The sequence below is a fragment of the Homo sapiens genome, chromosome X (genome assembly GCF_000001405.40).
Source record: "Homo sapiens chromosome X, GRCh38.p14 Primary Assembly".
In the NCBI taxonomy this organism is placed as follows: Eukaryota; Metazoa; Chordata; class Mammalia; order Primates; family Hominidae; genus Homo; species Homo sapiens.
The window spans coordinates 24,980,456-24,994,205 of record NC_000023.11 but is presented as its reverse complement, the minus strand read 5'-3'; the positions used below and the strand labels follow the sequence as shown (position 1 = coordinate 24,994,205).

Here is a 13,750-nt window from a genome sequence, read left to right as displayed (position 1 = left end):
CAGAAAGACAATTTGAAAGTTCTAATGATCTGAGTCTGGGAATAAACAACAATGGCCCCAACCAGTGTCGGCTGCCTCCCGGCAGGCCAGAGCCACAGGCCAGCAACCCCGTGCATGTGAATGACACAAATGCATCTGATGACTGGGGAGAGCACATTTAAAGAGCTGCGGTAATACGGAGCAGGGGAGGAAAAGAGAGGACATAGCTCCTGATGTGTTTACCTCCTCTGCTGATGGGATATTGACTTTTCCCACCAGGTTGGTTAGAAAGGGGACTATTTACGCTGCCACACAGCAGAGTTAGAATGACAACCAGCGTCACTCGGTGCTCTTCCTCCTAAAAGACAACTGTGACCGCCAGCATATCCCATAGCCAGTCAATACGGCCAAGGCACCATTCCACGCCAGTTAGAGATGCAGATAAAAGCTCCCACTTGCTTCCCCAAAGAGAATTTAATCAATAACATATGGAAGGTCTTCTAGGAAACAGAACTGGACTAGCTGTCACAGGCTGCGTCAGGGACAGGGGCTGGTGGGGGGAAGGAGTCACCCCTTCCTGGTTTTTCTCTTCCCCCTTTAGGCACCTGGGCCACCCACGTTAGGCCTCACATTAAACTGTTACCCTGTTTCTGTCAATACTATATCCACCACTTTAGAACTCAAGGGAAAATACAGGTGTTAACTGGTGGAGGCCAGTTAATGTGGCCAGTAAAACCCTGATTCCTTTTCCTGCTTTGATTTTGAGAGTCAGCCTATCAGTAACGACGCCATCACCTCAGGTGCTGCAGGTCAGGTGCCCAATAACAACTGTTAAAAGATTCCAACATGCCATTAGGCAAGAGCCAGAGAAGATCCGCAGCCATCCCATCCCTGTCCACAGAGATGCCACTGGCCCTGGTAACTGCTGTCTCCGCCACCAGCACCACAAAGCCAACCTTTGTCGAGATCGGGGAGGAAATGCTCTTCCTACACACAAGTGCGTCACTGAAATATACTCTAATGGCTTGAAGTATCACCCAGAAATCACTCATCTTAATACATCAGCAAAGCTAATCTCCTTTTTAAACTTTTCTTGAGAATAACATTCGAGGAACGTGTATATAAAGCTTATTTACTCTGATCCTTTCTACATGCTCTGATTCCCTGTGGTTATATGTTAATTACCAAAAATATTCTGTCCCTAACCCCTATGAAAACGATGGAAAAAAAGGGTAGCCTAGATACTAATTATTCACAAAATATTTTATCAGACTACAAAATGAACTGCTCATTTAAAAGTTGATTTCTATTGATTAGAATCTAAAACCTCAAAATAATGAAAGTTACATTCTTTTCTATATGGGATGAACTAGACCATCATCTGTAGGTTGACCTTTCTTAAATATTTTATATAAAAGTCAACTGATCAAATAAAATGCTAGCTCTATTAAAATAATGGAGTATTCTCCCATCTAAGGAAACTAACTCTACTTCACATATTTTAGTTCCATGTCAGTAAACCAAAAATCTCTTTTCAACTTTACTCTTTATAAAACCCTTTTTGGACTTAAAGAAACACACTGAACTAGAAACCACGAGGCAAAGACATTTTAACATCGCCTACTGGTTATTTTCTTTTAATTAAGGCAGGCTTAGGCACACAGGCAGCAGCCGTCTCTGTTCTGAATGTCTGTTTCATTTATTTCTGTACAAAGGTATCAAACAACAGTCAGTTATAATTGATTCTGTCAGGTGTTATACAGTCAGTCATAATTGTCTCTGTGTAGAGGTGTGTCAATTTACTATATCTGAATTAAATATTCTGTCAATTATGAAATCAGGTAATAATTTCAGTCAGTTTTTTAATTGCATGGCTTCCCACCATACAGTTCTCAGTTCTCCCACCTTTTCCAATCCATAGCCTCCCTCCCTCAATGCAACGTGAGCTTTGCAGTAAGGGGTGGAATGCAGGAAGCTTTAGAAAAATTTGAAAGAAAACTGCACCCCTCTACGCTCTCTACACGTAGAGCCATCCGACCTACAGAGAGCTGCTGGAGCCTCTGGCCTGCCTTTTTCCTGAATATCGATCCATATAACTGAGCTTCCGGCTATGCACAGTACCTGAAAGATTTCAAGTGACATCCATATTTTAAACTCAAAGACATTTAGGGCCCCAAATCAAATGGCAAGTACATAAACATTTCTCAAAGTAAGAAATGAAAAGAAATAATCTTTGAGTCAATTCTTATTTAGAAAAAAAAAATTCACAAGGCACAGTGCCAGGCACACACAGTGATCAATGTGTCTATCAATTAGCCAATGCCTAGAGGACCATTCTCACCCATTAAATCACATCTTAGATGCTAAAATATTTCTGAAGGCTTGAAGAGTCTGTTAGTCCACTATCCAGTTCCATTCCTACTTAGAAATAATTATCTTCAGTTTTCTTTCTTTTTTCTTCTTTTATGTTGATACCAAAATACAGCCTTCAAGAAGAATAAAATATCCATGGTTTAGCTCAAGTGCTCTACTAGGCTGTAGGCTGATCTGACAAGTATTTAGAAGTGTGATTATAATTCTCTCCACCATTGGTCTGGTTCATGTTCAATAAACACAGGCTTGCTGCAGCCTGGTGGTGGTGAACAGTGACCCTTCACACTCAAAGCAAATGGAGGTGCCATGGGGCCCAACTACCAGGAAGGGTTGTTCAGTGGAAGTTTGGGGAAGAGCAGAGGCCGATGCGAGAAGGGAGGAGACAGAATAAAGCAATGTAAAGAATGCCACTTCTATAGACAAGAATAGAAGGTAAGAGTCGTGCCCCTTACCATGTTTCAGTGGCAAAAGAGTCACCTTGAAAGAGATAAAAAATTTCCTTTCAACTGGATGAAGTGATTCTCTCAGGGTTGGGTTTTGGGTGTTTGCATTTGTCATGTCGGAAGAAAATTGCCCATGCAGCCCCCTTGCTGAGGTTATAAAAAGTACTGTCAACCATACTGGACAGAATTTTTTTTTGGGTGGGTGTGGGGGGGGAGGTTGTAGAGAAGGAAAAAAAAAAAAGAAACACATTGTGCAGGATCATTAAGCACTGTTGTATAAATAAAGTTAGAAGATCAAACGAAAGAGGGGACTCGGGTTAAATGCTGGAAGACAAGCTTAAATAAAGTTCTAAGAAAAAAGCAAGGCACGCTGTAATTCCAAGAACCTATTACTTCAGACAATTTACTTCAAAAAATAAAATCAGAATGGTAAATGATTACCAAAAAGCAATCATGTCATCATCACTGAGAGATGGAATAAAATAATTTTTTGTGAAGTGGCTGAATGAGAGCAACTTAAAAGCCACGGAGCCTGTCAGAAGCACATTATTTCTTTTTACACCCCGTTTCCCAATTCATCTCAGTGCTGCTGACTAACCTCGGCTCCCAGCAGGTGGAGCATTTAAAATAAATAGCATTTCCTACAAAACGCGCTCCAACTGCCCCATGACAGACGCTTCCAATTCCCGGCCAGCCACTGGATCAGCTTCAGCGGTATCTAACAAGGTGTAAATACAATAACAAGCATGTAATTAAGTGAGCATGATGAAGTTAATGGAGATAATTCATTCCATTTTGGGCTTATGAATATTCTATTAGATGTTATCAGGCAGCTGGAATAGCTGTTAATTTAATCATCATTCAGACCAGCAAAATGTTCTTTGTGCGAGCATAATTGCAGAGAATGAATAATTGATTTGACAATTGTACCAGTGGATTTCAAACAGTTCTGTGCGCTCTCAGAGCAGGAAGGGAGGAGAACTGGAATACTCAAAGCACTGAAGAGGTGGCAGAGAAGCCAGCCTGTAAATTGAACATTATCAGGACACAGATAAAGGACAATTTTTATTTTATCAATGCAACACAATTACATTACAGTGCGCTAGTAATCATTCTGCCCACACTTTAAAAAGGGAAATAAATTACTCTTCATGGGAAAGGACAAAAAGAAATATCAAAACCATTTAGAATCCATTGATATTGGATATTTAATTTTTTACATTATATTTTATTATAGGAAATATCAAACTGTGTTTGAAATTGCTGGTACATTTAACTCTGTTACCTGCAATCAGGTACACAGATTGTATTTTACACGTATCTCTGTATTACAGCATGGTCTATGAATTACAATGACTTTATTGCAATTTTTTAAAACTACCCTAATGTTTAAAAAGCGCCATCATTGAGGTATACAAGAGTATTGTACGCCTTAACTGCCAGAACTCTGTTCTGGATACGCTGAACAACTAGCAAAATTTTATCCTCCACATGATTCTATACTACATTTGAGCAGAAAAAGCAGCAACAAAATGTTGACCTTCAACAAACAGTTTCCAACCTGAAACTAAGTCTTATTAAGGATCAACTGTACCAAAGGCCTAGAGTTCTGAGTTACTACCCCAGCAGAAAACATGTTCATCACCCACCCCCACCCCCCATGGCTATTACTGCAATTCGCAAAAACCTTTCACGGCATTCTACACAGAAGCTTGTAATTTAATCAAAGCCAATGGGATAGTGACTACAGTGAAATTTGATGTAAGCACTACTTTTTAATACACATGAAGTCATGAGAAAATGGAAGCATTCTGAGTATCTTCATTAGCTAGGAATGGTGGCGCATGCCTGTGGTCCCAGCTACATGGGAGGCTGAGGTGGGAGATGGGCCCAGAAGGTAGAGGCTGCAGTGAGCTGTGATTGTGCCACCGCACTCCAGCCTGGGCAACAGAGTAAGACCCTGTCTCAAAAAAAAAAAAAATCTAAAAATCTTAATGTCCAATTAATATTCCATGACAGACAAGGAGATGATCAGTCCCAGGTCAGTGGTGCTCAGGGGGGTTAGGGGGTTGGGACAGAGTCAAGTCGAATCCTGGGAAGTTTATTTGTCAACATATTCAACCAGTGTTCACCATCCAACCTGGTTCTCACAGGTTTTTGTGGGGAAAAGGAAGGTGAGAAATGTGTTTGTGCTTCTTAAACATTCCCAAGATTTTGATAAGTTTATACTGCCCCCCTCAACTAAGAACCAGGACTATAAAAATTTTAGGTATGTCTGATTTTGATGACCTCACAACTTCATATTATGGAAATAACATTTTCCACCAGTACCATTCTTCCTGAAGACTCCAGTCTTTTCAAGTCTTGAGTCAGCAACAATATCCAAGAAGCATACACAACATCTTTATTGCTCACATACCATTTCTAATCTATTTATTTATTTATGAGATGGAGTCTCACTTTGTCACCCAGGCTGGAGTGCAGTGGTGGGATCTTGGCTCACTGCAACCTCCGCCTCCTGGGTTCAACCAATTCTCCTGCCTCATCCTCCCGAGTAGCTAGGATTACAGGTGCCTGCCACCACGCCTGGCTAATTTTTGTATTTTTAGTAGAGACAGGGTCTTGCCATGTTGACCAGGCTGGTCTCAAACTCCTGACCTTAAGTGATCTGCCACCTCGGCCTCCCAAAGTGCTGGATTAGAGGTGTCAGCCACTGTGCCCAGCCGCATTTCTAATCTTGATAAACATCTTAATCTCTACTTATAAGGCTTCTAAAGATGGGCACATAAAAAAATTCAGGCTGTTTAATCCTATGTGGTGACATGCAATATCCACAGGAACTGGAAATCGTTTACTCTGGAGAGGTAACAGGATATGGGTGTGTACACAGGCTGGGACATTCTTGCAAAGGAAGAGCAGATGTGAGGAAAAGAAAATGCATATGCATTAAATGCAGTGAGTGTGGCCTGGGAGTTGGCACTGGCTTTAGAATCGGAAATTCTGGACTCATTTCTGGGCTCTTATTTCTGAATGTCAAGCCTCTGCTTATTTTCCTTCACTTTAATGAATGCACAGGCTGACGGATTAGAGTGCCCAGGCAGTTTCTGAGACCATGTTAATGGTCAACAAATGTTAGTTGATGACAATGATGACAACAGATAGGCAGTAAATACAGTCCAGTGTACACAGTCATTTACCACAGGTGGGAGAAGAAAAAAGCCCTCAGGGTGTAGAAATATGCAAATAGGCACCTGAAGGAATGGCTTTTACATTTCTTGGGCCAAAGGCTGTACCATCAGCTAAGCTGTTGTTCTTTTGGGGATAAAGTCAAAAGAACATAGGCCATGGCTTGGTTGCTTCTTAATCCTCTGGATATCTTCCCTTCTCACTAGCCTCTTGTTCTCACAGCCTATGCTGTGGTGTTAGGGACAGTTTTGACTAATATAAACAGCTGGAACTAAAGCGAGGCCACAGTTGGATGGTGAAGGTAACAGCTGTGCTATAAACAGGTCTTCTTGGTGGGGCCCTTACCATTCCAGGTCACCATCACATTCTGGATAGAGTGTAGAAAAGAGGTCGTGCCTTCCTAAATCCTGACATGAAGGCAAGATTCTCGTAACACCCTTTCCCTTCTGCACACTGGGGAAGGATAAAGTTACAACGATTCCAGGGGCACTCAGCCTTTCTTGGGTTCCGTATTTGTTTGCGGGTAGGGAACATTCCCTTCCTGCTTGGGTATCATGGATCCACAGATGCCATACCTCAAGATGGTGAGTTACATACCTTGTGGAGAAAAAGATGAACATTTTTGATTAAGCCAAATCAGTATTCTGGCAAAATAATAATGAAACATATGACTATACATTTAGTGTAAGCGGATCAGTAAACAAGTATCTGTGGATAACCTGCTACATGCAAGGCACTGTCAAACAGGTTATGAGAAACAGAAGCTTAAATAAGCATTGCACTTTAAAGGGTTTATTAGTGGACCATTGCTGTGTAACAAATCACCCCATGATTTGATGGCTAAACATAACACACAATACATACATTTCTCGGTTTCTGTGGGACAGGAATCCAAGCATGGCTGAGCTGGGCATCTCTGGCTCAAGGTTTCTCACAAGGCTACAATCAAGGTGTCAGTCCCACTGTCTCCTGAGTGCTCAACGGGGCAAGGATCATTTCCAAGTTCTCTTCATGTGGACTGCTATTCCTCTTAGGTTGCTGAACTGAGGCCCCAGTTCCTCATCACATGGGCTTCCCCAACTCACAATATGGCAGCTGGTTTCCCTCAGAGTGAGTGAGTGAGAGAGTGAGAATGCTCAAGACAGAAGTCAACATCTTTTGTACCCTAATCTCAGTAGTGACATTTCATTGCTTTTGCTGTATTCCTTTTTAAGAAGAGAGTCACTTGGTCCAGGCCATACCCAAGGGAAGAGGACCACTGCACAAATAATAGTCACTGGGTGCCATCTTAGAAGCTGCCTATCAGAGAGGGCCAACGCTCTGGATAACTGGTGGAAATACAGGGGAACTCAGTAACTTAGTGTGGAGCACCTAAGAGTGGGGGAGAAATTTAAGGACTTAAGAAATCTGAGAAAGCAGAGTGATAATAAAGTCAAAGGCAGACTTTTAAAGTGACTATATATAAACATACATACATACATATATATATATATATGTTAAGAGACAGGGTCTTACTCTGTCAGGCTGGAGTGCAGTGGCATGATCATACTCCTGGGCTCCAATAATCCTCTCACCTCAGACTCCCACATAGCTGGAAGTATAGGTATGTACTACCATACCTGGCTAATTTTTACATTTTTATGTGGAGATGGGGTCTTGCTGTGTTGCCCAGGCTTGTCTTAAACTCCTGGCATCTCACAGTGCTGAGATTACAGGTGTGAGCTACCGGTCACCTGACTATATATATATATATTTAAAGAGACAAAGTCTTACTCTTGCTCTGTTGTCCAGGCTGGAGTGCAGTGGTCATAGCTCATTGCAGCTTTGAACTCACATATCTTGAAATCTTAACTGGTTGATCACTAACATAGCCACTGTCCCTCTTTTCAACTCTTCTTACCAACCAAAGACTCAAGGATTGCCCAGTGGAGGTAATGGGTGGCAGTGCTCCACCCTACTTAGCTATTTTAATACTGGCATCCCTTCTCCACCCTGATTAATGTCATGGCTCTGAGGAAACTGTCATAAAGAAGGAACCCTTTCTTTTTTTTTGAGATGGAGTTTCGCTCTTGTTGCACAGGCTGGAGTGCAATGGCGCGATCTCGGCTCACTGCAACCTCTGCCTCCCGGGTTCAAGCGATTCTCCTGCCTCAGCCTCCTGAGTAGCTAGGATTACAGGCAAGTGCCACCACGTCTAGCTAATTTTTGTATTTTTAGTACAGACGGGGTTTCTCCATGTTGGTCAGGCTGGTCTTGAACTCCTGACCTCAGGTGATCTGCCCACCTCAGTCTCTCAAAGTGCTGGGATTACAGGCATGAGCCACCACGCCTGGCTGGAAGGAACCCTTTCTTAGAGAAAAGACTGGATGCTTTTGTGACAGTGGGTGGCCAAAGTGAAGCCACTGATAAATACTGATTGAATATCCCTTATCTGAAATGCTTGGGACCAGAAGTGTTTTGGATTTTGAAATATCTGCACCACACTCACCAGCTGAACATCCGAAAATCTGAACTCTGAAATGCTCCAATGAGCATTTCCTTTGAGCGTCATGCTGGTGCTCAAAAAGTCTTGGATTTTGGAGCACTTCAGATTTCCAGATTTAGGATATTCAACCTGTACAAGGATATTCAACTGAATTTAAATTCTCTCTAGAGGGTTTAGTGAAAAATTGAGAAGACTGAACTAAAAACAATGGAAAGTGGCTTTCTCTAGAAAGAGATACTCCCTTTAGGCCTACACTGTACAAGAGTGGCCAGGTACTGACTCCAATGGCTGACTTCCAAATGGGGGGTTATTAGAATATTTGGTATTTTATGTTTCATGATTTCATTATTATGGAGTAAGGGTTAGCAACTATGGCCTGAAGGCCAAATCTCGGCTTCCACTTGTTTTTGTTAATAAAGTTTTATTGGAACACAGCCATGCCCATTTGTTTCTGTGTTATCTATGGCTACTGTGGAGAAGTTGAATAGCTGCAAAGGAGACTGGTCCTCAAAGCTGAAACTACTATCTGACTCTTCATAGAAAAAGTGTGCCAACTCCTGGTATAGAGGGTTCAAAAAATACATATCTTATTTCATCCTAACAACAGTCCCATAAGTTAAACAGAAGAGACACCATAGCCATGAGGAAACCGGACCAAAGAGGCTTTTCACAACGCCACAAATTTAATTCATGCTCTTTCCTCTAAACTCTCTTTGTAAAGGGACACACACACACAAAACTCCTACTCTCCAGCCTGCATGATTTATCTTAAAAAGTGCAGGCCGGGTGCGGTGGCTCAGGCCTGTAATCCCAGCACTTTGGGAGGCCGAGGCGGGCGGATCATGAGGTCAGGAGATCGAGACCATCCTGGCTAACACAGTGAAACCCCGTCTCTACTAAAAATACAAAAACATTAGCCGGGCGTAGTGGCGGGCGCCTGTAGTCCCAGCTCCTCGGGAGGCTGAGGCAGGAGAATGGCGTGAACCCGGGAGGCGGAGCTTGCAGTGAGCCGAGATCGCGCCACTGCACTCCAGCCTGGGCAACAGAGCAAGACTCCGTCTCAAAAAAAAAAAAAAAAAAAAAAAGTGCAAAAGGTCTCCTCAGCATTCTTATATAAAATTTTCCATCTTTGGCCCAAGCAACTGCAAGTCTTTAGAATTTTTGCCAGTATTGATGCAGGATGCTGGAATAAACACACACTTTTTTTTTCCGGTGTAAAACGTTGATGGTAGGCCATGTAAGGCAAAATGTTCCCCTCTACATGTGTTTACATTTACTCTAATAAAAATCTGAATCCTTATTTCAGTTTGTTCCTTGGCTCTTCTTAGATGAAGGTTCAATGATAGCAGAGAAGATGAAATGAGCATATTAGGGAATGTTGTATTGCACATCTCAGATTCTTCTCAAATAAATGCATAACCTTGTGGTAAAACTGAAACTCGCCATCCTCATTTCTGTATGTTTATTATGCACAGTTTCAGCTACCAAGGAAGAATCCCCACACTGCTCAGCATTTTAACTACCATAATCCTCAATGTATACTTTTTAATGCTTAGTCCAAAGCTAATTACAAAATGGGTCTTATTGATTTGCAAATTGTTGCTATCCATTTAAAGCTATGTCACATTTATGACTCAATGATTAAAAGGGAAAGCGGTGTGTCTCTTACACTCAATGATTTAAAGGGAAAGCAGTGTGTCTCTTACACAGTACAGTTCTTGATTAAGTCACTGAATTCTCTGAAGCCTCTGGCCTTGTTAAGCAGCCTCTAGGTCCTCATTTTGCAGACGGAAGCAGGGAGTTTTGGGGGAGGCAGGTAGTAGAGGACACGACAGAATGACTAAACCACAATTCCACAGAAGAGGCAAATGGTGCTTAGAGAGGTCTAACTGCTATAGGCCATCCCACCATGCACAGCAGTCTCCCTCCCATATTAAGACAGGACGATCTACACAATGGATTCATCTAGATGGCACTAGCAAATGGGATGGTTACTGATATTGACTGCATCATTATCAGAGCCTTTTTTTGCAAGCTTTAGCAAAAATTAAAATGCTCTTAAACTGTAAACTGAAGGAAAATATGGATCTAAAATATGCTTGGCAATAAGCCCAGAAAACCAATAGGATACCTGGGAAAGAACTCTGAATTAACATAAGGCTAAGAACGTGGAGACTCTTAACAATACTGATTGATGGGCCATTAACCTATCCTCATCTCTACCACCAAATGACCATATCTTTCACTGGCAAATAAATTGCGTTTGGGCTTCTCTACTTGTTTATTTGACAAATATTTATTAAGTACTGACTGGGTGTCATGTACAATTTGGGATAGGGTAGAGATGAAGAAAGGATTCCAAAATGCCTTAGCACGCCTGCTGTATTTCAGGAGCACAGTTTGGCATTCTAGCTGGAGAGGAAAACATACAAATAAGTAAATACACTACAATTCGATGTACCCATAGAAACATGAATTATTAATTCATTCAGCAAATATTTACTGAGTGCCTACTACGTGCCAGATACTATTCTAAGCCCTGGGACATAGGAATGGACAAAACAGACAAAAGTGCCTGCCTTCATTAGGATCAGAATCTGATAATACTAGAGATATGATTAACATAAACGAGAAAAATCCATTAGAGACAACATAAAGATAAATGAACACATACTCTTTAGAAGAAAGGCAGCCCAGAAGTCTGAGTTGCTTTTATTATTAATGCAATACAGTTAAAAGATCACAACTCAATTATTTTGAGCACAGATTATAGCTTATTTATATAATTTTTAAAATGTAAATAAATTTGGAGGAAATGGAGCAGGCTTAAAGGATGGCGCTAGTGCCACTCTCAAAATAGCCCATCTATTGGCCCTGAATTTTAAAATATGGCTCACTCCAAAATACATCAAATACAACGTATACAGCTGCCATCTGTCCTTAGTCATAGTAGGAGTCCCTTTCATTCACAAGCAAAGCCAGTGGAGGGAGGGGAGGGACTTGAGATGGAGAGAAGATAAATTCCATTTGTGCTATTAAAAAAAAAGTAGAACAGTGAACCCAGTGGTTGAAAAGTGAAGATAAAAAGAAGAAAACAGTAATCTTGCTATAGAAACCAGAGAATTATGTTCTTGCTCTCCCCCGACTTTTTTTTTTGCTTTCACATTGTACAAACTCTAGCACCCTGAACGACTCACTCTCCTGCTATTTCCAGCACTTTAAAGAAACTTTTCAACATTTCTGCTTGACACATTTTTTCAACAGGGAGGTGAAGACAATAAGTAAACAGGTAGTAAAGGGCTATTTAGAGAGCTGGTCAGTCACAGTAATAATAAAGGGAAAAACCCCCACCTGAACAGAACATCCATCCTATGTGTGGCAGCCACAGACGGCACATGACCTCTGACAAAGAGTTTTCAGAGTAATTTTAATGCTACTCTGGATTTAACTTGACTAACTGGTAGCAATTGAGCACATCTTTTTTTCTTTCTTTTTTTTTGTGGCAGCAGTTATCTAAAATGCTACAATAACAGCATCAAAAGTAGAATGGTGGAAGATTGGTTTTCCATTGTGCTGCTGAACTGGCATAATGCCCACTTTAAAAGCAATTCGCTGCTCATCACTGAAATCTGGCAGACACGACACTAAATGCCTTGAGGGAAAAAAAAAAGGGACCTGAGAAGGGGGAACCCACTCCAACCACCACGCAAAAGGGGTAAAAAGAGCGCCACAGATGATGAATCTGGGTGAAAAGAGAAAATTGCCAAATAAAAAGTTTAGCATTGCATGCAGACTCCCAATAGGCTGCACTTAATTTGCTAGAAACAGATTTTGTCTACAGGTCTGCATTAGTAATAGCAGAACAAAACAAAAGCAAAATATATATTTATGTCTGTCTATTGTTCTGATGAAGCAAAAACCTAGTGAGTTCCGTCAATCATTTGTCAAACATGTCTTCCCCGTTTTATTTACCACCAAATATAATGAGTAAATATGTGATAATAAAACTCTTCTTTTTACATGGACATATACAATTTTTCCTCCTGCTAAATACAGGTAATGATTTAGGAAGCTTTCAAAATGTCTTTTTACTGTCAATAAAACTAATTCTATTCCCATTTTCATCTGAAAAAAAGGCTTTACAAATGAAAATTCAAATTAAAATTCTGATTATAGTGTAGTGTGACAACACCTGTATTTATAATTTTACTGTCAGCTAGCTTGTAGTGTTTAACAATAGCTCGAAGTAGAAAAGTAATTGGAATTTGTCTGTAACATGCCAGATGACGGCATTGGGAGCTTTGCTATGCTACAGCAAATTTGGTTTGATGGCAAAATAACCTCACTGAGACTTCTACAAATCAAAGGTTATTGGGGCTGGAGGGGGGAAGGTCTCTCAGGTATGGGATCCCTTCCTGACTTTGGGGAATCTGAGAGTTCACATCTGATGAGTAAAGACTGCTCTGATCCTGACTTGGGCTTCTGGCCCATCACCTGCCCTGCAGCCTCTCAAACAGTGCAGATGCAATGTAGTTTCTAGAGTTACTCCAGATAAATCATCAACCACAACAACAATATCATCCTGTTGGTTTGGACACAAACCAATAACGTAGCATAGCTATAAACCTGACAGAGGTGGGTGGGATAGGGGATCCATCAAGTGAAGGGAAGCATAGCGAGGGACTGAAAAGCACCTACGTGGGGCAGGGCAAGACCCTGGTAACAGTAAGATACAGGATGCTCACCACTTATCAAAGGCTACACAGCCAGGAGCTCTAGAGATGTTCATTGTAGTCATTCATTTTCAATAACCACCGATAAATAATATAGGTACCCACACAGATGCCTAAGGTTTGCTATTTATCAAAAGATTAAGAGAAAACTTACACATCCCACTTGTACTTTTACTGAAGCGATATGGAGAAAAAAATTATTTAAAGCAGTGTTCTGCTGTCAACTTGAATCTTTCAAAACTTATAAACACATGCTAATCTCCACACACAACTTGCCTTACTCTAGTCTACAAGTGAAAAGCCCATCTTTTTCATTATCCTAAAGATGAAAAAAAAAAAGCCACATACAAAAGAAAAACAGAATGACAGTGATGTTTTAGTTTACACTAGATATGGCAACACACACAAACTGTCAAAACTATGGAATGAAAAAAGCTGTTATCAAGCAACTGTCAAGAAGAGTCCTCTGAGATTTGGAAATCTTGTGTTTATTGTAACTACTGCACATTACACAAAGAAGGAAACATCCCTCTCCTTGCTCTTGCTGCTAA

The 13,750-nt window shown here is 41.0% G+C and overlaps 1 protein-coding gene and 1 long non-coding RNA gene across 9 annotated transcripts in view, besides 1 other annotated feature; both read right to left on the bottom strand.

Moving 5' to 3' along the window:
* The window catches only part of POLA1 (DNA polymerase alpha 1, catalytic subunit), a 303,069-nt gene that overhangs the window by 2,781 nt on the left and 286,538 nt on the right, over positions 1-13,750 (bottom strand). The gene's annotated exons all lie outside the window — the stretch shown is intronic.
* Positions 2,742-4,444: an enhancer, noted in NCBI's record as "VISTA enhancer hs121". NCBI's record gives its function as "enhancer in: forebrain[6/6]" and the evidence as "EXISTENCE:transgenic organism evidence [ECO:0001131][PMID:17130149]".
* Positions 3,848-8,081, bottom strand: LOC124905263 (uncharacterized). Its single transcript, XR_007068417.1, has 2 exons — positions 6,846-8,081; positions 3,848-6,578 (listed from the first exon to the last, which is right to left on the bottom strand). It is a non-coding gene; the product is annotated as an uncharacterized LOC124905263 (long non-coding RNA).